Source organism: Homo sapiens, chromosome 6 (assembly GCF_000001405.40).
Source record: "Homo sapiens chromosome 6, GRCh38.p14 Primary Assembly".
In the NCBI taxonomy this organism is placed as follows: domain Eukaryota; kingdom Metazoa; phylum Chordata; class Mammalia; order Primates; family Hominidae; genus Homo; species Homo sapiens.
The window spans coordinates 68,226,332-68,252,225 of record NC_000006.12 but is presented as its reverse complement, the minus strand read 5'-3'; the positions used below and the strand labels follow the sequence as shown (position 1 = coordinate 68,252,225).

Below are 25,894 nucleotides of genomic sequence, written 5' to 3'. Positions count from 1 at the left end.
ACTCTATTATGTGGTAGAGAACCCAGAAATAAAGCCAAATACTTACAGCCAACTGATCTTTGACAAAGCATACTAAAACATAAAGTCAGGAAAGGACACCCTATTCAACAAATGGTGCTGGGATAATTATTTGTTCTTCTACAGGTGCAAGTCACATGTAGAAGGACAAAATTGTATCCTCTTCTCTCATGTTATACAAAAATCAACTCAAGATGGACCAAAGGCTTCAATCTAAGATCTGAAACCATAAAAATTCTAAAAGATAGCATTGCAAAAACTCTTCTAGATATTGGCTTAGGCAAAGATTTCATGACCAAGAACCCAAAAGCAAATGCAGCAAAAAAAAAACAGAAATAAATAGATGGAATCTAATTAAACTAAAAAGCTTCTGCATAGCAAAATAAATAATCAGCAGAGTAAGCAGACAACCCACAGAATGGGAGTAGATATCTGCAAACTGTGCATCCAACAAAGGACTAATATTAAGAATCTACAAGGAGCTCAAACAAATCAGCAAGAAAAAAATAATAATTTCATCAAAAAGTGGACAAAGGACATGAATAGACAATTCTCAAAAGAAGATATACAAATGGCCAAAAATCGTACAAAAAAATCCTCAACATCACTAATTAGCAGGGAAATGTAAGTTAAAATCGCAATAATATACTACTTTACTCCTGCAAGAATGACCATAATGAGAAAATAAAAAATAATAGCTGTTGGCACGGATGTGGTGAAAAGGGAACACTTTTACACTGTTGGTGGGAATGTCAACTAATACAACCACTATTTAAAACAGTATGGAGGTTCCTTAAAGAATTAAAATCAGAACTACCATTTGATCTCCTACTACTGGGTATTTACCTAAAGGAAAAGAAGTCATATGAAAAAGGCACTTGCACATGCATGTTTATAGCAGCACAATTTGTGATTGCAAAAATATGGAACCAGCCTAAATGCCCATTAACCAATGAATAGATAAAGAAAATGTGGTATATCTACAGCATGGAATACTACTCAGTCATAAAAAAAATGATATAATGGCATTTGCAGCAACCATGATGGAGGTGAAGATTATTATTCTAAGTGAAATGACTCAGAATTGGAAAATCAAATATCATATACTCCCACTTATAAGTTGGAGCTAAGCCATGAGAACACAAAGGCGTAAGAATGTTTTTTCCTTCAGGTAGATACCCAGTAGTAATATTGCTGGGTTAAATGGTGGTTCAACTTTTAGTTTTTTCAGGAATCTCCATACTGTTTTTGAGAGTGGTTATACTAGTTTACACTTCCATCACAAGTGTAAAGTGTTGCCTTTTCACCACATCCATGCCAACATTTATTACTTTTTACTCTCCCATTATGGCCATTCTTGCAGGAGTAAGGTAGTACCTCATTGTGGTTTTAATTTGCATTTCCTTGATGATATAAGGACTTTGGGGACTCAGGCAGAGGGGTGGAAGCGGGGTGAGGGATAAAAGACTATACAATGGGAACAATGTACACTCCTTGGGTTACGAGTGCACCAAAATCTTACACCTTAACTACTAAAGAACTTATTCATGTAACCCAAAACCCCCTGTTTCCCAAAATATTTTGAAATTAAAAAAAGAAAGAATCTGTAGGCAAGATACAACATGGTGAAGCTCTAAAATTAAAACATATCAGATATTTTAATGCATAAACAAAATAATTATGTGGCAAAAATACTGTAAAGAAGTCAAAAGACAAATTGGAAAAAATATTTACAAGTCACTATTCAAAGATATAATTTTCTTTAGATAAAACTATTATATTTGTGGATGAAAAGGTTAATATTAAAAAAATAAGATGAGCAAAGAATAAGACAATTTATTAAAAAAACTTCTAAAATATGAAAAGGTGTTCAACTTTATCACAACTACATACACACAAACTATAACCACATTTGGATGCTATTTTCTCCTATGTGAATGATTAAAACAATAATTTAATACATCACAGTATGGCCATACATTCCTTATGAAAACGTAAACTGGAAGAACCCCATTGGAAGATAATTTGGCAATATCTATAAAATTACATTTCCAGGAATGCATGTTACAAAGAAACTCACGTTTGAAAAAAATCAATGTATAGGAATATTTATTGTACTATCCATAGAGGACTTGGTAAGTTAATAATTATACAATTAGCATTTTCTTGACCCCATTATATAGCAAATATAGAAGGGTGAGGGAGGAAGACAGAATGAGAAATGTGAATATTACATGACTATATTTCTACAATGAGAATTATTCATGGAACTTAAATTCACTGAGAACCAGCTACAACTGGACACCAGGCCCTGTGCTAGGTGGGAGAAGATTCAGATAATTGACAGGAAAATCTGCTCTGAAGATCTCAAGGTCAATGTCAACTCCCACATGGGAAGACGATCCCGGAGATTAAACAATTTTTCACACCCTTTAATTCAAGTGAGCACAATTGATTGAGGTTTTTCTATATGAAACAGATTGTATTATGCACTGAAAGGATAATAGTTCATAAAAGGTACAGACTAAAATTTATTTCATTGACAGAAATCTTTGCAAAACAAATGGCCTGGGGTTAGCCAATTTCGAAATATCACTGTATCTCTTTCAGTTGGAGACATTTTCCTCAGTGAGCTGCAAATTTACAAACTATTTTTGATGCAGATAGTATTAGCAAAAGGAAGTCTCAGAACTGATTCCTAAAATGGTGTGACTTCTTACCAGAACAAAGTATTCTGTAACAACCACATAACACATTTTAAAGAGAAATTTCAAGCTTTGTAATACCACAGAGCCACCCCTTTGTCTTATTTTCTTCTTCAACCATCACCACAACCTCAGCCATGTGTCCTTTCTTAGTTTCTACAACACTTTCTCGTTTTTCTTTGTTGTTGTTTTCTTCCATCCTTATACTATCACCAAGAAATTCTTAAAAGGAGAATCCAGCACATTATGTTTAGCACCCTAAGTCTGAATTTTTTTTCATCAGTCATTGAACATGATTGCTACCTATCTAGATTCCAGTGGCCTCAGGTCTAGTTACTGTGCTTGTACTCTTTTCTTCTCCCTGCTTCCACAGTTTGACCTGTGCAGTCCTTCTGATGCCTTGTTACATGCAAATCAGATTCTCCGCACAGTGATTCCTTTCTCTTCTAAGACCTTCAGGCTGACATCTGTAAACACCATTCCAAGAATTATCTTCTGGATGGGGGTCTCCTACCGTAAATGATATTCCTCCTACTAGGCATTCTTTTCTTGAAAACCAGCAACTAAACATGGGGATCTTCTAATCCAGTTTATATATTCAGTTTTTTACTAGGTATTTTAAGAATGCATGTAAGAATATTTATGTATTTGCTTTATTTTTCCCATCAAAAACCTTGTTTGCATGTCAGCTGTAAAATATATATGCTATTTTGGAATTTTAAATTTGTGCAAAGAACATTTGTTTGATCACCAGTAAAGTTATAATAACTTTATAAAAAACACACCCTCTTGTTCATTTTTTGTAATGTGACTTTTTTTATAAACTAGCAATTTTAAGGTATAGTTTCCTTTGCAGTTTCATTGTAGTTTCCTAAACTAAATATAATAGTTTAATCAAGTATGAAGATACCAAAACTTGAGATGATTAACAGCATTATTATTGAATATTTTCTACTGGACATATTTCCAATTTTTATAATTATACAAATTTTGATTGGCCAAAAGAGGAAATTTCTAATTGCCAAGCTATATTGTCTGTGTTGGTATTAAATTCAATACAAGCCACAGAAATTTTAAAAGCACACTGGAATACTGAAACTATTATTCAAAGTCATTATGGGTGCAACTAACAAAAAAGCTGTGCAAAGCATTGAAGTTAATGAAACGATTCAATGAGCAAAATAAATACTAGGCAGAAAGCTTCCCTAGACTGTGGAAAGTTAAGAAACTGATTTGGAAGAGTAAACAAATGCAAGTTAAGATAGAAAATAATAGAACAAATTCACTGTGTCAAACTGAATAGAATATTTCAGCTAACAACATTGTATTCCTCAAATCTATTCATAGCGGATAGAAGACAAGAGAAAATTGGCTCTCTAAAGTGACAGGGAAGAATTGTATCTTGTGGCTAAGAAAAAAGAGGTTTGCTAAGCAGTTTATTTTTTTGCTGCCATCAGTACAGAGATAGGTCCAGATTTCTCATTCTTTGTTATGCCAACTGTCTAGAATCATTAGTACCACTTCCAATCAGAGCTGACTACAGTGACTCACTCCGACCCTTAACTGACTTCTCAGGAAATATACAGACAACTAAGGTACTGCCCACTTATAATCAGTAGGTGTCTTTACTGTGTTCTTGATGAAATGTGAAAACAGAACAATATGTTTTATTCTAGTTAATAAACCTAGCACAAGTTTTTAATAGGCGGTTTTGATTCTCGCAAATGCCAAACTATCTATCTGAACATTATCATCCCAGAATGGTACAGTGTCAGGTAAAAGCGAGGATACAATGAAGTTTATTTGACCAAACTCTAGTCTGATAATTTGATGTAAATGCTAAAACGCAAATGCCTGGGACAACCCTTAGATATTCTGCACTTCTATGTTTAGGTGCGCCATATAAATTTACCTTTTCAAAAGCTTTCGGGTTGTGTTGATGCTAGCAGTCTGAGCATCACACAGATTAGTGCTAGAGAGCTTTCAATGTGTACACTACCTGTGTAAGTGATGACTGCCTACTTATTCCCAGATCCATTTCCTTTCCTCTGCTCTAGTCTGTAACATAGGAAACCACATTTATCAGGCCCTTTGGGTTCTAGGTAAGATTCTTTAGTGAGAGGTCTTCTGGTTGTATAATCACTTCTTTTTTTGCTTTTCTAGCCCTGGGGTGGGTAGTGGCTGTTGCTAACCTCTGAATTGCCTCACCATCCTCTGTTGGACTTTACAGCTATTCCATCACAAATGTAGCCAATTCCCTGTGTCAAGATCTCTTTATGAAAGACCAAAAATTGCTTCTCTTTCCTGGATGGACCCTGAATGAAAATGTGTATTACTTTGCCTCATGAAATCAGCATATTCATAGATGCTTCCGGATGAGCAAACCAGAAAGTTGACAAGAGTGAGACATAGGCATTGGACTAAACAAAACTGTGGGAACTTGCTTGTATACCATTTCCAATAGATAAATTGTAAAATTGTTCCCATGTTAGAATACCTCTTAAGTATAAGGGATTAGATTCCCTTTTCTGGAAATAAATTTAAATAGTGATAAATAAGTCATTCTATAAATTCACGAAATCAGCTAATTTCATTGAAGAATAGGAAGGATGCTGGACACGGCTTTCAGCTTCTTATCTAGGCCAAGAAGAGGTTGAAACATGTAACTTCAATAAATCACTATTTGTGGACGTTAAAAAGGTATGATATTGTCTTTGGTCTAGCTAAATGTGGTCAGATAATAAGTCCCTTCAGTTTAAACAAGTTATACTACTAGAGAATAGAAACCAGTTGAAGGTCTAAAATCTCTAATACTCCCCCACAGTACCTTCCTATGTTGCTCTTAGCATATTGTTTAGGTCAGGATCATACAAAACATTCTTAATATTTGGTGATAAGGCTAATTACTTTTAAAAATTTTTGTCATTTTTAGGTATCAGATACAGAGATACATAAGATATCAAAACCCAAGACAGCTGGTTTGCAAACCACTGATTTAAATTATTGCTAAGTGGTTTCCCATAAGGAAGTAATTTTTGAGCCTATGAAAATTTTTATGTTTGGTTGGGAGTGGGAGGTGAAGGAAGAATATATGAGAAATTCTTTGCTTACCAGGCTCTGAAACTATTTCAGTTATATACTGGAATAAAGATTTGTTACTAAATATGTTAAGTTTATGCTTCAAAAGGAAAATCAAATGGAATAAAACAAAGTAACAATTACAGTCAACTTTGAAGTATTGCTGTGTGGAATATATAAATTGTACAGAAAACTATTTTGATATTGTTTTGATACCTGTAAGATTTGATAACTGAAAATAATACATTTATTTTCTTTAAATGCTTAAAATGTGTAAGGTATTTCCTAAGTGCTTTACATATTTTAGTTTATTTAAGAGTCAAAAAAACCCTATATGTTAAGTACTGTTATTATCTCCATTTTATAGCTGAGGCATCTGAGACTAGAGAAATTCAATAATTGCCCAAGACACAAAGCTCATAAGTGACAGAGCCAAGATTTGTACCAGGACAGACTGCCTCCAGAGTCTATAATCTTAACCACTAGCATATGTTCTCTCTTCTTATACTGTAATACCATGATACCCTTTGCACATTCTATGCAGAGAATCTAGGCTCAAAAAAGTTAACAGAGTCGTGCTGAGCAGGAATAGAGTTCTGAAGAAGCTTTAAAAAGGAAGAAGTTTCTTATATGTCTAGAAAATAAGAGTTGGAAGCTTTGAATCCCAGCATTTTTTAGACTTTTCCCTCTGTTTGATTCAAGTATAATATGTGTGTGTGTGTGTGTGTGTGTGTGTGTGTGTGTGTGTAATATTTGCTGTGTATTTAGGGATCAAAGTGTTTACTTCATATTTCTAAGCATATGGTTGCTAAGTGGAAACAAAATGGGCATTTGAAAACTGTAGAGAAGTGATTCAAATTGAGCTTTAGAAATCTGTTTTCATCCCTCTCTGGTGGTAAAAGTTTGATGTGGGAAGCATAGGATCTGGTAGCTTTATGGATGCTATGTAGAGATGGCTGCTCCACGGTAAAAAGAATCACAGACAACATGTTAGAAAGCAGAGAAATAAGGGGATCTGCCTGTGTAGGGAAAGGAGGAGAAGGTAGAGCGAGAATCTTAGCAGTGTTCTAATTCCTAGGTCCAATTGTTCCATAGATTTTTGCTTTTCCCACAGTTACGTAAGCTTTAGTATACTCTTTTTTTTAATCAAACCTAGTTTGAAATTTTTGTTTCTGCTACTTGTGACCAAAAATACTTACTGAAAGTGTAAATATGCCTTTAATATTATGCATAAATGGTCTTCATTGAGGATCGGGCAAAATCTTCTCAGAATTTGATTCAGAGATAAACTAATCTTGGGCATCCTTTAAAAGCAGGGAGTGTGAGTCAATCCCTGAACATAGGAGAAAGAGGGAAAACAAGAGAGAGGGAGCACACAGATTTTTATCTCTTCAGGGAGGATTCTCTAATCATATTGTGTCAACCATGAGCTCCGAAGGGAGACAGCTCTCATAGTATTTCCTAGAGAAATAACACAAACCAATAAACAATGGGGTAAATGATATCAAATAATAAATATCCCTGTACTATTTCACCAATGTTTCTTTAAATAAGCAGCCTTTTAAAATACTATTTGGCAAGTGAAGGCAAGGACTATTATCCATATTTTGGGATGAATTAATACAGGATATAATAGCAGTAAATGTAGAAATAAATAATAATTTACCAGTGTTCAATGAGAATAGGACAAGCAACAAATAGAATGTGTATATTTTTTCAAGACTTTAATGAAGGCTTGAAAAGGGGATTTGTATAACACTATAAATTAAAAACTTGAATTTTTTTGGATATGAAGGGATGGGATTCTGTTCAAAATATGGAAAATCTTTGTTCCCTGGGTACATAAGGTTAATACTTTTATAATATTCGATATCAACATCAGTTCCATCAAAATAATTGTAATTCAGGTAACTAAAACTGGCTTTACAGGTAAGATATTAATAAGGCTAAGTGAAGGATGAATATGTTTGACTACTTAGAATTAAATTAAACAACTATGTATGTCAAAAGCAACCAAAATCAAATAACAAATGAAACACTGAAAAAAAATGAAGCATCTATGATATAAAGCTACATTTTTTAGAACTTTAAAAATTATCTAGACAAATAAAGACACTCCTACGGAAATAATGACCAAGGACATGGAGAAAACTCTAAATTAAAATGGCCAATAATCATATTAAGAGGTGTCAAACATTAGTAATTTAAAATACTGCAGAAATTGTTGTGAAGATGTAGGAAAATGGTTGTTTCATATAATACTATAAGAAATGTAGGATTATTTACCAGTATAGAACAAGACATCACAAATATGGACCTTTGAAAGTAACTAAATGTCTAAGAATATAAATTGGCTGAATCAACAATTCTACAGCAAGAAAATGATATTACGGAAGAGGTAAAAAAATGGGATAATAAAACTTCGTGACATATTTCAAGATGGATAAAGCAGGCTACAAAACACTATAGTATAACACCTTGTAAAAAAGTATTGCATATATGTAAGTAAAGGAACATATACCAAGTTTTTTTTTTTTTTTTTTTTTTTTTTTTGAGACGCAGTCTTGCTCTGTCGCCCAGGCTGGAGTGCAGTGGTGCCATCTTGGCTCACTGCAAGCTCCACCTCCTGGGTTCACGGCATTCTCCTGCCTCAGCCTCCCGAGTAGCTGGGACTACAGGCGCCCGCCACCACGCCTGGCTAATTTTTTTTTTTTTTTTTTTTTTTTGTATTTTTAGTAGAGATGGGGTTTCACAGTGTTAGCTAGGATGGTCTTGATCTCCTGACCTTGTGGTCTGCCCGCCTCAGCCTCCCAAAGTGCTGGGCTTACAGGCGTGAGCCACCGTGCCTGGCCAATTTTTAATACTTGTATCTTGATAAGATAGTATTTATGGTAAGGTTAATTATTTTTCCTTTTTCTGCACTGGCGTGAGTTAATATTTGAATGATCAAAACGCTAATGAAAATTATATATATATATATATATATATATAATTGGCATGAGATAGGACATATAAAACCCTTCTGTCTCCTAGAGAGAACAAAATCTTCTCATGATTGGAAGAAATAATCTGTTTATTTAATGTCTCGATACCAAATGGAAACTATTTTTATTAGAACATAAGAGAGGTGATTCTCTAAGAAGTAAGTGTCATGAGTGGGAGTTAACAAATAGCTATTTTATAGCCACAACAGAAACGTTAGTCTAAGATTTGTTTTCCTATGTAAAACAAATATGTACCGATGTTTTAGGAAAGAATTAGCAGGATGACTTATAATTATTTAAGATCTTTCATGCTTTTTTGGGTTAACTAGATTCAGCTGGGAAGTTCTCGCTTGGGGACTTTTTGTGACTGCAAGTTGAAGTCCCAGTTGGGCTGTTTTTCTAAGATGGCTTATTCACAGGGCTGGCTGTTGATGTTGGCTAGGATCTCACATGGCACTATTGACCAGAGTGCTCACATATGGCTTCTCCATGTGACTTTGATTTATCTCGGGATAAGATCTAGGTTGATCTTAAGTGATAAGTGGAGTGTCCTAAGAGAGCATCCTATGTACCCAAATAGAAACTCCAGGCCCATATTAGACAGGTAATAAACCCTTGTTGAAGAATCATTCTTATAACCCCTTAACTTTCCTCCTCAGACCATTATATGCTATTTTAATAACATATCTACCTGTATGTCTAGGCTATCTACCCCAGGATTAGTCTTGTTGTCTCCTTGGCTTGCTATTGTATTTACAGTGACTGACATTGACTTAGGACCTAGTAGGCACTTATTATTTGCCAAATAGTGAATAAACAAATGAATAAATGCAATAGATACAAAAAAGAGGGATTTTATGTTCTACAGTGACCAGAATCAATGCTAATTTTCCTAATTATGGAAATGTAAAAACCGTGCCTACTGGATCTTTAAAACATGAATACATTGGTGCCCATCTAAACAATGCCAAAAATGCTCGTGAACATTCAACATGGCTATTTTATTTGAAATTAGCAATGCCATTTTTTTACACCAATTAAGTATCACTTACCAGTTAATTTCAGTCACATACATACTTGCATGAGAATTAGATTTTGAATCTGGTGAAGTTAGAGTATTTTGTCTTAAATCCAGAAATTTAAAAAATAATAAAAAATAATGTATAAATCTTCTAAGAAGTTTCTTTACGTTGTTGTGGTTTTGAGATTTTCAATAGTACCAGGTATTTTAAATTCTTTGTAGACAATAAATGTTTTTTTAATCTAGAAATAAATTTCAATGTACGTTGACATACTGCTTTTCTCTATAAGAACTGAGGAGGGAGGAAACTTTGTTTTCTTTTCCCAGTTTTAAATTATTGACCTTATCAAATATTTAGATTCTTGTGAGTATTCTAGAGTAAGTGAATTATAAAGATAGGATAGTAGTTGAAGTTTGAATGTTAATACAATATATATGGGTCCATGGAATTATGGTAAAATTCATATTATATTGTCTACCTTCTTTTCCTTAGTTATTTTAAATACTCAGCAAATATATACTAAGAATCTTCTAAGTGAAGAGTAGTATATATGATAGGGGCTAGAAATGTGTTAGACATAGCCCCTGATACCAAGAAACTTAAGATCCATTGGGAGAGTCATTCACATAAATGGAGTATTTTGGGAGCACAGAAGAAACACAGTTACCTCATACTGGAGGAGTTAGGTCAAGCTTCTTGGAAGAGATAAGGTTTCAATAAAGGCTTAAATATTAAGGAAAATTTATTAGTTAAAAATAAAATTGAGAATGAGAAGGAAGATACTTTTAGTAGAGAGAACAGAATAAATAGACACTCAGAACCTAAAAACAGCATAGTATGTTCAGTGAATGAGAAGTATTTTTATGTGTCTGGCACATAAAGTGTGAGGTCTACAATGGTCAGAGATAAGGCTATAGGGATTGGCATGAACCATTGCGGCTTTCCTGATAAATTTGAATTTTATCCTGTAGATATGGGGGTGGTGCAGGATTTTAAGCAATATCATAATGTAACTCACTATATTGCATTTTCAATAGATCATTCTGTGTAGAAGAATAGTATGGCACTGGATACAAGTACATACTATAGAGAAACTTCACACATTGTTTAAAAATTATAAATAATGTATATTATCATCTTCAAAATATGAAAATTAAGTTTGCAAAACACTTCTTATTAACTACAATATATTCAGAAAATGATGCTGAGGCACAGAAGCTGGCAACCTATAATTCTATGCCCAGCCTAAATAACATCAAAGAACAAGGGGAATTAAGGCAATTCTAGACAAAGAATAAAAGTGTTCATGTTTCACAGATCATCACAAAAATAATATTTAAGGGATGAATTTTAGCAATAATAATGTAGAGAAATGAGTAGATTTTTAAAGAAATAATAAAACAAAACAGAACAAAACTTGTGGTGAGCAAATAATACTGTCAAATGTAATTAAATACTGGGGTCATCAGAAAACCATGTCTTACATAAACAACATAGTATTAAATTTCCTAACCAAAAAAATGAAGACAGTTAGATAAGGCAGGGAGTGAGGTATTCAGTGAGGAGTTCAAATATGTTAAAGTTTTTTATTATCCTTAAGAAAGGGATATAGATTCAAAATAGCTAAGGTTATTTCTTTAAAAAATACATAGTACATTTAATTATGAAAGAACAATAAATTTTTTTCTAAACTTTCCTATTATTTCTGTTTACCACTTTTTTCCTCTGTGTGGCTCAGATAAGCTCAAAGTGGAAGTTCCTTCATTGTTTTCTCTATATTCTGGTGGTAAAAAAATGATCAACAGACGGAGCCTAAAATTTATGGAGCAACTATAACATATAAAGTATTTTACTGCACTTGTATTGTTAGTAGAATGAAACTTCCTTTACATTTTTAATAATGTAATATTAACTGGTCGTCTTTGGGAGAGTTTAAAGAGACAGTTCATACACCCATTCTCCATTCACAAATAATTGAGGTCACCTGGTCCTGTTTGTGTCTCTGTCCTGAGGAAGACTTTAGGAACAAGGGTCCATTCTTCAGCATGCTTAGCAGCCTCTGCTGCTTCATGCACTCATATTTATCTGAAACACAGTAAATTGGCAGGGTCAGTGTACATTCAAACAGGGAGTCCTAATTGAACACTTCTACATGTAATCCTGAGTACCTTTGTACCTGTCTACAAATGGAGGTGTGTGGGAAGTAGGAAATGAGGAGAGTTAGAGGAAAATTAAAAAAAAATTGGGAGCACTGTCTACAGAAAGAATTATCCTCTCAGTTGGCTCTGAAAATATTATTTTTCATTATACATATCTGAGGGAAAATTACTGTTCCTTCTGATAACAGTTTGTTTGTAAACTTTAATATTTTATTAAATACAAAATTCAGAAATTTAATTGTATTTCAAACAAAAATATATCACTACTATCAAGAATACATAATCTATAAGAAAATAAGAAAGTGTTAGAAGCCTATGACCTCAAGCTCTGTAGATGATACATATGTTAATTTGTACCACTAGATACAAAACATGGTTTCTCTGTAACCATGACTGGCTATTCAAACACTTTCACATAAAATAAGAAATTATATTTTTGACATAACTTTATTTAAAATGCGTTCCTCTACAAACTTCCCAAGGAAATAGTCTCAGTTCTATTTTATATGGCTCTTCCCTCCTGGATATTATAAATGCTTTTCTATTATTCTAATCTTCTGGAGGTATTTTTGTAGTTAATATAAATTATTAGAGTCTTTTTTTCTGTAATATAAACACTTCAAAGGTAGCTTTTCATTTGCCTGGGCATGCCCGTGCAGACTTTCTTTGTCATTTATACTGGAGAGATAATGCTTCTTGTCCCACCAAAAGTCTATGCCACGAAAGGAGGCTAGTCTAATTGTATATTGCTACTTGCTCTGGCTCATAGAATGTCACGAAACTTTAACTACAGAGAAAAAAAGACTAGGTATGACATGCCTCGATTTCAACATAATAAAAATAAAATACTTCTAGCTGATATTTTCTTAAAACGTCTCACTGGAATATTTTTTTCTTCGTTTACCATTAAATTATCTTGATAGAGTTTTGAAGGTCTTTAATCAACCCCTACACTTTTTGTCTTTAGATTAATATGCTGTGTCAGAAATAAGTGAGCCTTGGGTCTATGGAAATTACATGAGCATTGAAGTGGATCCTAGTGGCAGCTGGGTGCAATTATAAGTTAGTTCAAGTTGCCTTCTATGTCCCCTTGGGTATGTCCTCTTTCCCTTCTTCTAACAATTCTTCCATTTTTCTCTAATTACATCTTCCTGATCACAGCCAAAGATATTAGTTATATTGTATTGGTATTAGCATGTTTTGTCCCTTTATTTTTTGGAATATAATTATCATTCTCTGTTTAATGATTTTTAAATGTCAGCACACAGTTAGGTTATTTGACACCAGAAAGCCATTGCCATTTGGTGTGGGGAAAACCCAAGCTTTACAGAGAAATTGGAATCAGAATCTTTCCTCTACACTATTTATCAGATGTGTGACCTTTGTCAAGTCAAGTAACATTTCTGAGGCTCATTGTCCTCATAGATAAAGTGGGGTTCATGAAAATATCACAGAGAGTTGTGACGGCTGGAGAGAGTAAAACCCCTAATATATAAAAGAAACTAAATACATGTTGGCTTCTTTGTTTTTCCCTTGCTTTTACAACTTTTCTGTTTAAACTAATTCAAAACAATACTACTTATCTTTAAATTTATGAATATCAAGACTAGCTCTGAGATAATATTTTATGAGACATATTTTGACTTTAGAACACTCCTATCTTAGGAACTTGAGTTTAAGGACTTAATCCTGGTCCTTGGCAGCCTTATGCTTCCTCCTTCCTTCTCTCTACTCAAACCTGTTCTTAGGAAATCATCTGCTAATTTCGTTTACTCATAGTTGAAAATGACTCATGAGATTGAATGCTCCCAGGGAAATTTGCATTTTAACAGAGCTCAAAATTTTTACAGTGAATGTATATTCCCTAATAGGAGAATTCAGAGAAACTAGTAATAGACAGAGGATGAAAATTTATTTTCTTTTTTTATCTGGACTCTCCATAGGCATCACTCATATTAAACCACATAAACCTCTGTCCTTTGAACCTTCCCCATGATGATTGAGGCTGTGAATATTTTACTCTGAAAAGAAAGAAAGATAGCAGTGGTAATATGCATGACCTCATGAGGCAAGAAAGCCACATAAGGCATTTGACTAATTTGGGAGTTAAGCATTATGAAGGCACACTTGTCATGAGAGGACACTTTCAGCTCCTGTCCTGAATCATTCATATATCTTCACTGAAGCTAAATGCTTTAAAATTCTCTGTGACTTTAACCTCTGATTCATCTCACTTCAATATATGCGATCCTATATTCTAATGTATCCTAAAATTTCTTCATACATTTTTTTCCAATCTTTAACATTTAAGTCTGCCATCTGCTTAATTTGTTTTACTGTGCGGGATTTAGCTGGAAGCACAGTGAAAATAAAGCACTTATGGTGAGTAGCTTTCCTGCTGAAAGTAACAAAAAATAAAACAAGGCCTATAAAATAAGCACTTTGTTGAATATTCTTAAATAGCAAATGTCAGAAGAGGTAGGTCAGAGGCAACATTTGCCTAAATGTGCTGAGGGCAGTAATTGTGTGCATATTTGGGGTAGGGAATGGGAAGAAAGAACAACGGGTAGCACAGGGGATAAAGGTAATTCTACCCCTTTGATACGGATGTAGAGATTGTATAAACATGGTCAGTGCTCACTCACCCTTGTGGGGATAGGGCTGTTCTCGGCGCAAACAACATTTCTCTCTGTGTAGCATGACTTACACAATGGCATGAGTTCCTTTTATTAAGAACTTCATTCATTTTAAGTCCAGGCATATTGTTTGCCTTTAGTCTGGCATAAAATAGGTTTGAATCCGTTCACTCATCCGTTCCACGGTGATTTTCTCACCTGTACTATGAATAAGTGGCACTTATGAAAGGAGTAGGTGCTTGGATTCTGTGTGTAGGCCATCTGGTTTTGAATTCCAACTCTGCCATTTAATGGTTATGCAATGATGAACAAATAGCATAAATACTTCATGCTTCGTTATTACCATCTATAAAATAATGATTACAACACCTCCTATTAAATGATGAAATATATTTAAAAGATAGCTTCTGAAACAGAATAAGTACTCAAAATTGTTCAATAGAGCAATTTGTGCTACGCACAAGAAATCATTGAGGCTGTTTTCCTCTATTTCTTTGTATGGTTCTTCTGTAGCCTGCTAAATTAACTTCTTATTTTTTTTAATTTTATTATTATTATTCTTTGAGTTTTAGGGTACATGTGCACAATGTGCAAGTTAGTTACATATGTATACATGTGCCATGCTGGTGTGCTGCACCCATTAACTCGTCATTTAGCATTAGGTATGTCTCCTAAAGCTATCCCTCCCCCCTCCCCACACCCCACAACAGTCCCCAGAGTGTGATGTTCCCCTTCCTGTGTCCATGTGTTCTCATTGTTCAATCCCCACCTATGAGTGAGTATATGCAGTGTTTGGTTTTTTGTTCTTGCGATAGTTTACTGAGAATGGTGATTTCCAATTTCATCCATGTCCCTACAAAGGACATGAACTCATCATTTTTATGGCTGCATAGTATTCCATGGTGTATATGTGCCACATTTTCTTAATCCTGTCTATCATTGTTGGACATTTGGGTTGGTTCCAAGTCTTTGTTATTGTGAATAGTTATTTTTTTTAAGTAGAAAATTGTCTTTCTATTGACTGTGAGCATGGAGACTTATTTTCTTGAAATAAAATAAGCACAGAGGACCCATCTCCTTACCTTTGGGGGGATTTTTTTTGTTTATTTTTGTTTTTGTGTTTAAGATTTGAATGTATCAAATCAGTAAGTTATCTCATGAGGAGACCAAAGAACATCAAAGATAATGTAATATGGGTTGGTAATTGGAACTGAAACTGAGCTCATACTAAAGATTTGGGAAAAATGAGTATATAGCAATGAAAGGGAATATTTTGAGTGTCCAGATTTGAGTCCAAAGATCAGTCCTAGTGAGGAGCAGTAGAATGGGGAGACACAAAGAGTAAAAAGGTTGGTCTCACAAAAACACCTGGACTAGGGTCAGATTGCTATGCAATGAAGGACAATTACTATGCAATGAAGGACACTTCATTCTCAGTGAAAGGGAAAAAAATAAATGTTCACTAGGTTCATCGCATAGTAGTCCACAAACATTTTCTATTCATACATGTATGTTAAAAAATGCCAGTTCTAACCTAATGCAACTACTTTAACATAATACTGAAAATGCATTTGCCCTCTCCCCAAAGATTGATAATCCAAAGTCTTAAATTCAATTTCTACATGCAGTTCCAAAATTAGAATCTTTGGATGAGATAACTCACTCTTACTCAGATTAGATGTTGCACTAAATAAATTTGTAATCTGCAGCTACATGATGAATCAAAAAAGCCCCAACATATCAAGTCCAAAATTAAGCACTAAGACTAGAATAAACACATAGAATAAACATTTTCACATGAAAAACAAGAGAATAGTAAGTAGCATACAGTGGCCTTTGAGCTAGAGCACATATTAGTTCTGCTGGACAGAAACCAGTGGCTGTGGTTCAGTGGCAGATGAGTCAATGTCTTGACCAAACTGCCTCTCTCTGCCCTCTTGCAGGACATGCCCTGGACGTTTTCCTCCATGGCTGCATCTGAGATTATTGGAGGATTTCCATTTCTGGAACAGCACTGTTTTGGTAGGCAACTTCCTTTTTGTGTAAACTCATTGATGTGCTAATTGTCTGAGGCATTGAAAATTTGCCAATGTTGAGGTTTTTCTGGGAAGATAATGCCCTTAAAACTTCAGCTGACTTTTGTTTGACTGCTACCTGCTTCCTCCCTTGACTGGTAACTAGGCTCAAAGAGTCTCATTTTAATCTAAATTTCATTCTGGTGGTTTCTGTTTCTTAGCAACCCATTTCACTGTTTCTGCCCAGGGCAGTGAGACTAGTAATCTGTTCTTTATTTTTGGCTGCATTAGAGTACATAGTTGTTAATACTAGGGCCACTATTTTTTTTTTAATTTTTTGGACAGGAAGTGAACAATGATTGTTTGAGTTTAGTCATGTCTTGATTTACTATTTGGATGTTTTGTTCTGTGTAAATTTTTATATTTTTTATTTTTAAAAATATTTCATTAAATATTATATTTCTTGATTACCAAGATTTTTTAGTGCCTCCTTAAATTTTGTGCTTGAAATATGTGCCTCAATTATCTCACACTAATCCTGGCCTTGCAGGATAAAGTTTCTTCTTGGTGTCTGGCTTCTGGGCTCTAATACAAAATTTGCTGATTTCCCTTCCCCCTTGCACCTTTGCTTTCACTGACTGTCTTGGAATCATATTTATATGATTTGGCTTTTTCAACCTGTAAGACATGCTCATATAAATTTTGGCAACTTTGATATCTTGGATGTCACCTTTGTTAGGGAGAAATGGTTGCTACTCTCTGCTTTGAGGGAAGTTAGTTTAAGCCAAAATTGGTCTTAGGACCTTACTAAAGTCTCCAGGAAGCATTCAATAAACTCTAGCATCAAAACAGATGTTTTTGTTTTGTTTGTTTGTTTGCCTGCTTGCTTGTTTGCTTGGCTCTAATGTGCCCTAAAGCTCCCAGACACTTTATTTACATTGTCTGATTTTCAAGATACAACAGGTAAAAACTTAACCATATTCTCTACCATCACATAAGGAGGTTGATAAACTTCCCAGTAAGAGATGGGAAATCATTTCTGTCCTACTGCTTACCTTGACCTAGCTAAATTCATATTTGAATTCCTCTCTCATGCAATATTCCACTTTCCAGTACCAATTTCTGCATTTAGTCAGAATTCTGTTAGTTAAAGGTATCAAAGAGTGAGTGCAAACTCATTTATTCAATAAAATTGACTAATGTAGCAAGGGAGGGGGAGAGGTTCTGCTTTAGGAACAGCTAGATCCAGATTTCCAAACAATGCCATAAGGTCTCTTTCTCAGCATATCTTAATCTGCTTTCTTTGCTTGGCCACATTCCCAGCAAGTTATTATTGTATGGTGATAAATTGATCAGGCTCGAAATTTATATCATATATATTTATATTATATATATACATATATATAATATATATACATATATAATATATATACATATATAATATATAATATATATACATATATAATATATAATATATATACATATATAATATATAATATATATACATATATAATATAATATATATATATAAAAATCGAGATCCCATTGAACAAAAACTTTCCCCACAATAGTGACAAAATTATGGGAGAAATTCTGGTTAACATGGCTTAAATCATGTACATTTCACTGAAATAACTGCTATAACTAAGTGTCCTCTGGTCATAGTTTACTCGGATTGGCCAGGTTTTGGTCACATGCTTACTCATGAGCAGGGAATGTGAGTTTGTCCTAGTACAAACACAAGACTGCACAAGATTACTAATAAGTGATAATAAAGTGGTTCCTCAAAAGATGGAATGTAGAGAAGACAAAGAATAATCCATGATAATATGACTCATCTGCTCTGAGTGCGGAGAGGCAGTAGGGTTACATCTTAAAGCTCTGGAGGAGAAGGACAGAGAGTGAGGTGATCAAATGAAGTAATAGTTGTGAACATTCACAATTCAGGATGGACTGTCCAGAGTGACTGCTCTGGTCTTCCTTGGAGTAAAAAAGACATTAGCTCGGAACATTCTTTCCCCCACCTTGGTTGGCTCAGCCCAGGGATATGCCAGCGTTTCTTTTTAGGATGGCAATTTTCTCCCTGCAGTTAAGCAATCCCAATGGAGTGTGTGAAATGTATGTTTTTTGTGTTGAGGAGGCTGGGGAAGACAATGCATTAAAGAAGCTTTTCTCCCATCCTGTGTAGTAACTAGGAGACAGGGCACACAGTGAAATGCATTGCATAAATATATTTTTACAGACTAGATTCTTCTTTACAATTTTTCATTGGTCAAATAAACTCTGGTATGTTTTTAGTATTACCGTAAAATTCTTAGTAATCTTCTTGCTGTTCAAAATACTGTGCCTACAAATAACATAAATCAGTAATTTTAAATCACGTGCTAGATAAAATTCTGGGCACTGAATAAAACTGTTTTAAATGAATATTCTTTAGCAGATTTTAGTTGAGTACTTTAAATTCCTTCAACATGTATGAGTACATTCAGTTCGGAAATGAAGCAAATGCTTAAGAAATGGTTACATAAGCTGGCCCCTTCTCCTCCTGTATGTGTGGGGAACAAGCTGTCTCAAGGGCACGTAAGGCATCTTACTCCCCATAAAGCTCAAGTGAGGGCTCTTTCTTCCCTGGGTTTCAGAAACACACCCCCGGAATGTCCTGTCTCAAACTGGGGAGGGGGAGAATAACTTACTTGAGAGTTAAAGTCTCTTAGGAGCTTTTTTACACATAACTCCTGTATGGGTGATTATAGATTTAATATCTCCTTGATGCCAACACCTTCCTTTTCCCTTTTGGTGGTTGTTAATCCCAAATATATGGACACATAGAAAAGATTTGGTTGTTCCTTGAATCCCTTGAAATGGAAGTAATATTACTAATATGTTAGTATGAATGTTTGTTTCATGAAAGGGCTTATGCAGTGTTATCGAGTATTCTAGAAAGAATTAAAAATTATAACTCATTTAGAGGAAACCAGTTCTGAAAAGATGCTTATGTAACAGATTACAAAAGATGTTTGAATCCCTACGCTTTGATGCATCATATGAAAATGTGAGGTATCAATGCCTAAATTTCTTCACAAAGTTATACTCCTCAGTCTGCTAATAACATTTCTATATTTACCTTTAGGTTGCTGTGATTGAGAAATGGATATCCTCTTATCTGTAATCCCATTATTCTAAGCAGTAAATCCTACTTTCAATAAAGAAATACAGAATTGTAATAGTTCTCCAGTCTCTTCACCATACTTTACACAACACTATGAAAAGATGTGGTGGTTGAAGAGATTCCAGCTCTCATCTGCCACAAAAACTACATTGTGGTATTTCCTCTCCATTACAAGAGTAGGAACTGAATAGGCTCACAGCTGCATTTTCCCTAATCTCAGGAGAGCAAGAAGCTCAGGTTAACTCCTGCTCAAAGGGTTGTCCAAAGCTGACTACACTGGAATTTTAGAGTGTTATGCAGTTTCTTCACTGGATATCCAACATATGGTATGTGACACTAGGTGTGAAATGATTGAAATTTTAATGAACAGTTTACATTTGAGTTTCCAAGGACCCCAGGCATTTAGAGATGGCTGGTCTCTGAAATACTCATGAATGAAAATGACCCCAGGTAACTGAATATTACTTACTCTACAGATGTGTGTATTATACACTCAAATAATGAAATGAAAGCCTCACAGAATGCTGATTGTATTTGACATGCAGTTCCTTGTAATTGTTGCTGAAATAAAGAAAGTGACATAAGAATTTTTTCCACAGCTTCATTATAGATGTGACTAAATACGTTATTTGGGAAGTAAATTATATAATATTAATATACATGAAAGTGGCTTCTGTAGACATATCCTGAATGTCACCACCTCAAGTCTTCTGAATAAAATGCAGCTTTGGTCAATAGACACAATAGCAACTGATTCATTTCATGGGTAAGAAATTGTTTATCATGGCACCTTAGTAAAAACAAAAATCTTAAAAAGTACACATTCTCAGAAATGCAATCAAGTATAAGCATCATCTTTTCTATTCCATAAACAATTTCTGAATAGTAGATGCTTGATTATACAGCATCAAGAAATCTTTTCATGAATATATTAAAAATGAATGCAAAAACTGGTAAGCCCCAGAATAGATTTAATGCACACAGTACACTTTTATAACCATCTGTTAATCCTCCCTGGCCATACAACTCCTCAGCTAACTAGAACTGCAATTAACCAAGCTATCCCAATTCTTAACCATACTGTATAAATAGGCATTTGTTGTATTTTCTACACAAAGAAATGATTCTGTGGGAATTCTTCTAGTGTTTCCATACCTGTCAGTCACCTATAACTACTTTCAAAGAAGATGCAAGCTCCAGAGCAGTGAGAAGACAAAAAATAAAAATTCACTTAAAAGTTTGGCTCCATAAAAATAATTGAAAATTAGTAGAGTCAATGAATTTAGTTAAGGCTCAAAATAAAGATTTGAGATATGTAAGCACGACTGGGGTAAATTATTTGTATTTTCTCATGAGGAGGCTTAGAGCATGGCAAACAACACGCTCCCTAATTTCAAGAAATATCTGGTAATATTATACGCCAACTTACTACTCAAATTTACTCTCTCGTGGTCTGGTTTTGATGCACATTGCTTATGATCATGATTATAATTATTATGATTATGGATACTTTTTGAAGCATTCACGGACAATCTACAAATTATTGGACAACCTACAAATTATTTGAGGTTAGGTATGCAACTCAATAATTGGTTACTTATTTTTATTTGTCTTTAAAAAGTCTTTTTTTCTCCTTGTTTATTCTTTCTCCCTTTTCCTTTCATTCTCCTTCCTCCCACTTTCTTTCTTTCTCTTTTTTCTGTCTCTTATTAATAATTAGAATTATTCTTATACACCTTAATGTACATATGTAGATTTTCCCAGGGAAGTTTGTCATCACCACCTCTACTTTTGCCTCTGTTACTCGCTGTCTTAATTTCCCTGCATCTCAGTGTCTTAATCTAGACCATGGAGATAATAGTCTTTGACACATGGAGTAGCTGAAAGCAATAGATGGATAATGTGCAGGGCCCCTAGCCAAGTTCACACTGGGTGCTCATCGTCCTTTCTGCCGTTGAAGTGTCATAACAAGGTGTTATGCTTCCCCTCTCATTTCAGCGCGGTCCACTGCAGAATGTCTCCTGTAGCAGTCAGTCCCTTGGGGCAATCTCCCATATCTCAGCCTTTGCCTAATATTAACCTTTATCTGCCTTATCTTGTTCTTTAAAGGCTTTGGCCACATCTAAGAGATAGGGCTGTTTGGACAAAACTAATATAATTTACCAGTTGTTTGGATGCATAACTTTCCTAGAAAAGAATTTTTTTTTTTACACTCAACTTCAGTGGGCAATGTCTGTCTTACTCTAACGAAATAAATTTGATGTGAAATATTACAGATGACCTGGCAGGTGTGAGAAAGATAATTTTGGTTTATAGGGTCTTCCCAAGCCCGTTAAATGCTGTCAGGTATAAACTATATACGTGCATTGTAAATTCTGGTCAACTATATGGTACATGCACAGCAATCAAATAGAATTTTCTTCATTACTTTATTAATAAACTGAACATTTCACATATGTTGTTATTGGCTTCATGTTAATTTTTTAATATCTTAGGACAAGACATTTATTGATGTGATGTTTACTATTTAATGTAATTTATCAATTGGAAACTCATTAGTTCTAACAGCAAAACAAGCTTTTTGCTTCTCTGATTAAAATGTTCTGTGTCACATCTAAGAGGATGGGGCAGAGGCAGTGACTCAGAAAGACAGCTGGGTTAGGAAAATATTGCAATCCACAAATGGATGGCCATGAAAATACTTAGAGAAATATGAAGTCCATGACTATTTCCTTCATTAGCATCACAATTGGTTTCTCTGGAATTTGATTGTGGGTAAGAAAGGGTGGTCCAATTTTAATTCCGTAAAAGAGAGAAAAAAAAAACAAAAGTTATTTAAATCTCTGCTGAGGATACAACTAAAGAAACACTGATTTTCTTAGTATTGATTGCCCCTTGTTTATACCACATACCTATTCCTTCACTATTACATCTCAAATATGTGATTGTGAGATTTTTACCTCCCCAAATATTAACTATTCAATGATCTTTAAGCTTTATAACTTGAATCTTTTCCTACACAAATTTAGCATTGGGAAATATCCCCTCAACTAGTGTCCCAACATAAGATATCCAACATAATGATGGTGTTAATATCCAGAATGTGTAGTGGGTAAGTCATGTGGGGTGAACATAAATTTGGGAAATAATTATAAGACCATTGAAAATACTTAAAATCAAATTTGTTTCATACTCTGCACCAATTTCAAAATATACAATTTTTGTCTTAAGACAGCAAATACAATATAAAGAGAACTATAAGTGTTATGTTATAAAGAAACCTACCACTGCCACATGTCAGTTATCTGCCTGTGCCTGTAGCATTTTTTTCTAATCTTTTTTATTTTTCTGAATGTTCAGAATTGCAACCCAGCATCCTCTATTTTACTGAACTCTCGGCGTTAAGGCCTAGTGAATGTGACCTCGCCTTATTTACTTAGGGGAATTGCCCATTAGTTATCTTGAACTTTAACATTCTTTACTCCCAAGTTGGTAGAAAGGGAAATTGTTCAATAATTGATCTTTGAAGTTATTCCAATAGATTAGGTACGCTGATTTTATTTTATTGGTTAGCAGTTATGTAAATTTTTTTAAAAAATATATGTAGAAAAACAATTTGATCCAGTGTATTTCACATTTAACCCATGCCTACCAGTTTACTAATATCAATTGTTTACATCTGGTATCAATTTTTATTATTCAGCATCCATGCTTGTTCAATTAAATGTTCTACTATCAACCACATTTGCAGATACTAGAAAATATACAAGTGATTTTATTATTTTTAATTCAAATAAATATTATCTACCAAAGTCTCTGAAATTGATTAATTTCAGATGAATATTCTCAGATAAGTAAAAGTAAAAATTGTATCCTAATCTACAGCAGCCTGGACACATTTGGACTTTAGAGTTATTCATGGAATTATAAATAACACAAGTGTAAGCAGCACAGTGCAGCTAGTTAAATATGATAATATGTAATTATACTTTCCGTGACATTTTCTCAATGGTACACAATACCTCTAAACAACGGGTCTATGTTTTGTTTTTTTTTTTCTGTATCTGTATCTGTGTCTATCATTGTTAAGGAAGTACATTCAATTTTTCTCCAGTCTAGGAAAATAGTATTATTTTTCTAAATTACTTGTGATAATCTATATAGAGACTAAGAATATTTTCTTCATAATATGAAATGCCATTTTGGCTTTTTAGTCTTCACAGGGATATTTTCAGTTCACAGAATAGATATTTTTGAACAAAATCAAGCACATGATTTTAAATATTATTTGTATAGTGGTCTGTGTGTATTTCTATCATATCTGTGTTCATAATACTTATTAGCTATTAGAGTATGTGTGTTTATTCATTACTGCATCTTCAGCATTCAACCCTTTGTCAAGGCCACAGCAGACTTGAGATAAATGTTGACTCATTGGATGAATGAATGAATTACTTCAATTGCTGAACCTTTACTTTCAATTTGTATGGTTGGGTCTATGACCTCTCTCTACAAATATATTCAGAATTTCTTAGTGTTGAACTAGAATTTGAACTATAATCTTGTGGTACATCTAAAAATGTATCATTTTTCAACATTCATGAAAATAAACGGCTACTACGCCCTAAAGAAGATGAAAAATTGTTTACAAAATTAGAAACTCAAAAATGTTTTGGGGGGCACAAAATATTGCATTAACTTTGCTCAAAGTTATCATTAACATGGTTACTCAACCAACAAGTCCAAAGACATTAGAGCATCTTTTGAGTCCTTGTGTGGGGCCTGGACTTGCTTCATCTGTCATACGAGTGGATGCAATAAGATTGAAGACGATTCCAAAATAAAACAAAAACAAAAAACAAAAAACAAACACAGATGAAGGATTGGCAGGTAATTGCAAAGTTGCAATACTAAAATGAAAGCAAACAACAAAGAAGCCACTAGCAATAATTAAACTCAGAGTGGTGGTGGGGCAAAGAGTACAGCCCTTGTTAGATGGAAAATATTTTTGCATCATACATATTTATGGTCTCTAGCAAATTTCACTGATCTGTTGAGAATTAATATCCCTGTTTCCTCTCTTTTATTGTTCTTATGTATAACTATCTCTCCTTTAAAATAAACACTACAATCTTCCATTCCTCTAGCCCCTGAAAAGTAGCAGCAATGTGCCCTGCAACAGAATCTGCACACTACAGAGATACTACAAAAGCTACCATGAAGAAGCTACATAGATGATCACTGGGTTGTACCTCTCAAGTACTTTCTCAGAAGCCACATCCATGTTATTGCTGAGAGTACATGCTTTGCTATAAACCCTAACTGGGTTGAATCCTGGCTGTGCCACTTAGTAGCTAAGAGATTTTGACCAAATCACTGGCAGAGACCTTTGTCCCCTTGTCTATGAAATAAAATAAAAATAGCTACCGCTCTGAGATTTTTCAATAAAACCTGTTAAATTTTACAAGGTTAACTGGCTAGTATTTAAGTTTTGCATTATCATGTGCTATCCTGGCCATCTTGAGAGCTGTGCTGATAACTGGCACATGAATATGTCTACATATTTCAAGTTAAATCTGCTGTCATATCAGAATATAATTTTATAAAACTAAGCTTATTATCTTTTCTTTTGAACTTTTCCTGTTCATTGTTTTTGCCAATATTTTACTTAAAAGGATCAACTTGCTTTCGTACGTAAGAGATTTCTGGAAAATACATTAGAAAGTCAAGCATGTTTTTACAAAAAATCCTGAAACAACTAGGGGGCAGTGCTGCCAAACGATAGCTCAAAATCATCATTAGTCAGCTGAGGTGTGAAAAACCATTTAGATCCAAAAAGCAGATGAGGGATTGTGATGGAATGTATTAATTAAATTGAACATCATATGAAAGCCAAATTCATGGTAGATGCAGACCACCATATTTTTCTATGTATGGGAACTTATAAGCCCTGAGTCACCTTTGACTATTCCTTATTCCCATATTCATGAGGCTCAGCCTCATCTTTGTTGGGGTCTTATTTTGTTGGTAATGTATTTTTCATCAGCCCTTTCCTTCTTCTCATAATTCCAGTCTTAAGTCAACTTCTTATCACTGAGACTAATCAAT

General features: G+C 34.2%; 1 long non-coding RNA gene across 1 annotated transcript in view; it reads left to right on the top strand.

The window, feature by feature from the left end:
- The window catches only part of LINC02549 (long intergenic non-protein coding RNA 2549), a 102,930-nt gene extending 77,674 nt beyond the window's left edge, over positions 1-25,256 (top strand). Inside the window, exon 4 of the long non-coding RNA NR_125854.1 lies at positions 24,934-25,256. This is a non-coding gene — a long non-coding RNA (long intergenic non-protein coding RNA 2549). The remainder of the gene's footprint in view (positions 1-24,933) is intronic.
- Positions 25,257-25,894: the final 638 nt, after the last annotated feature.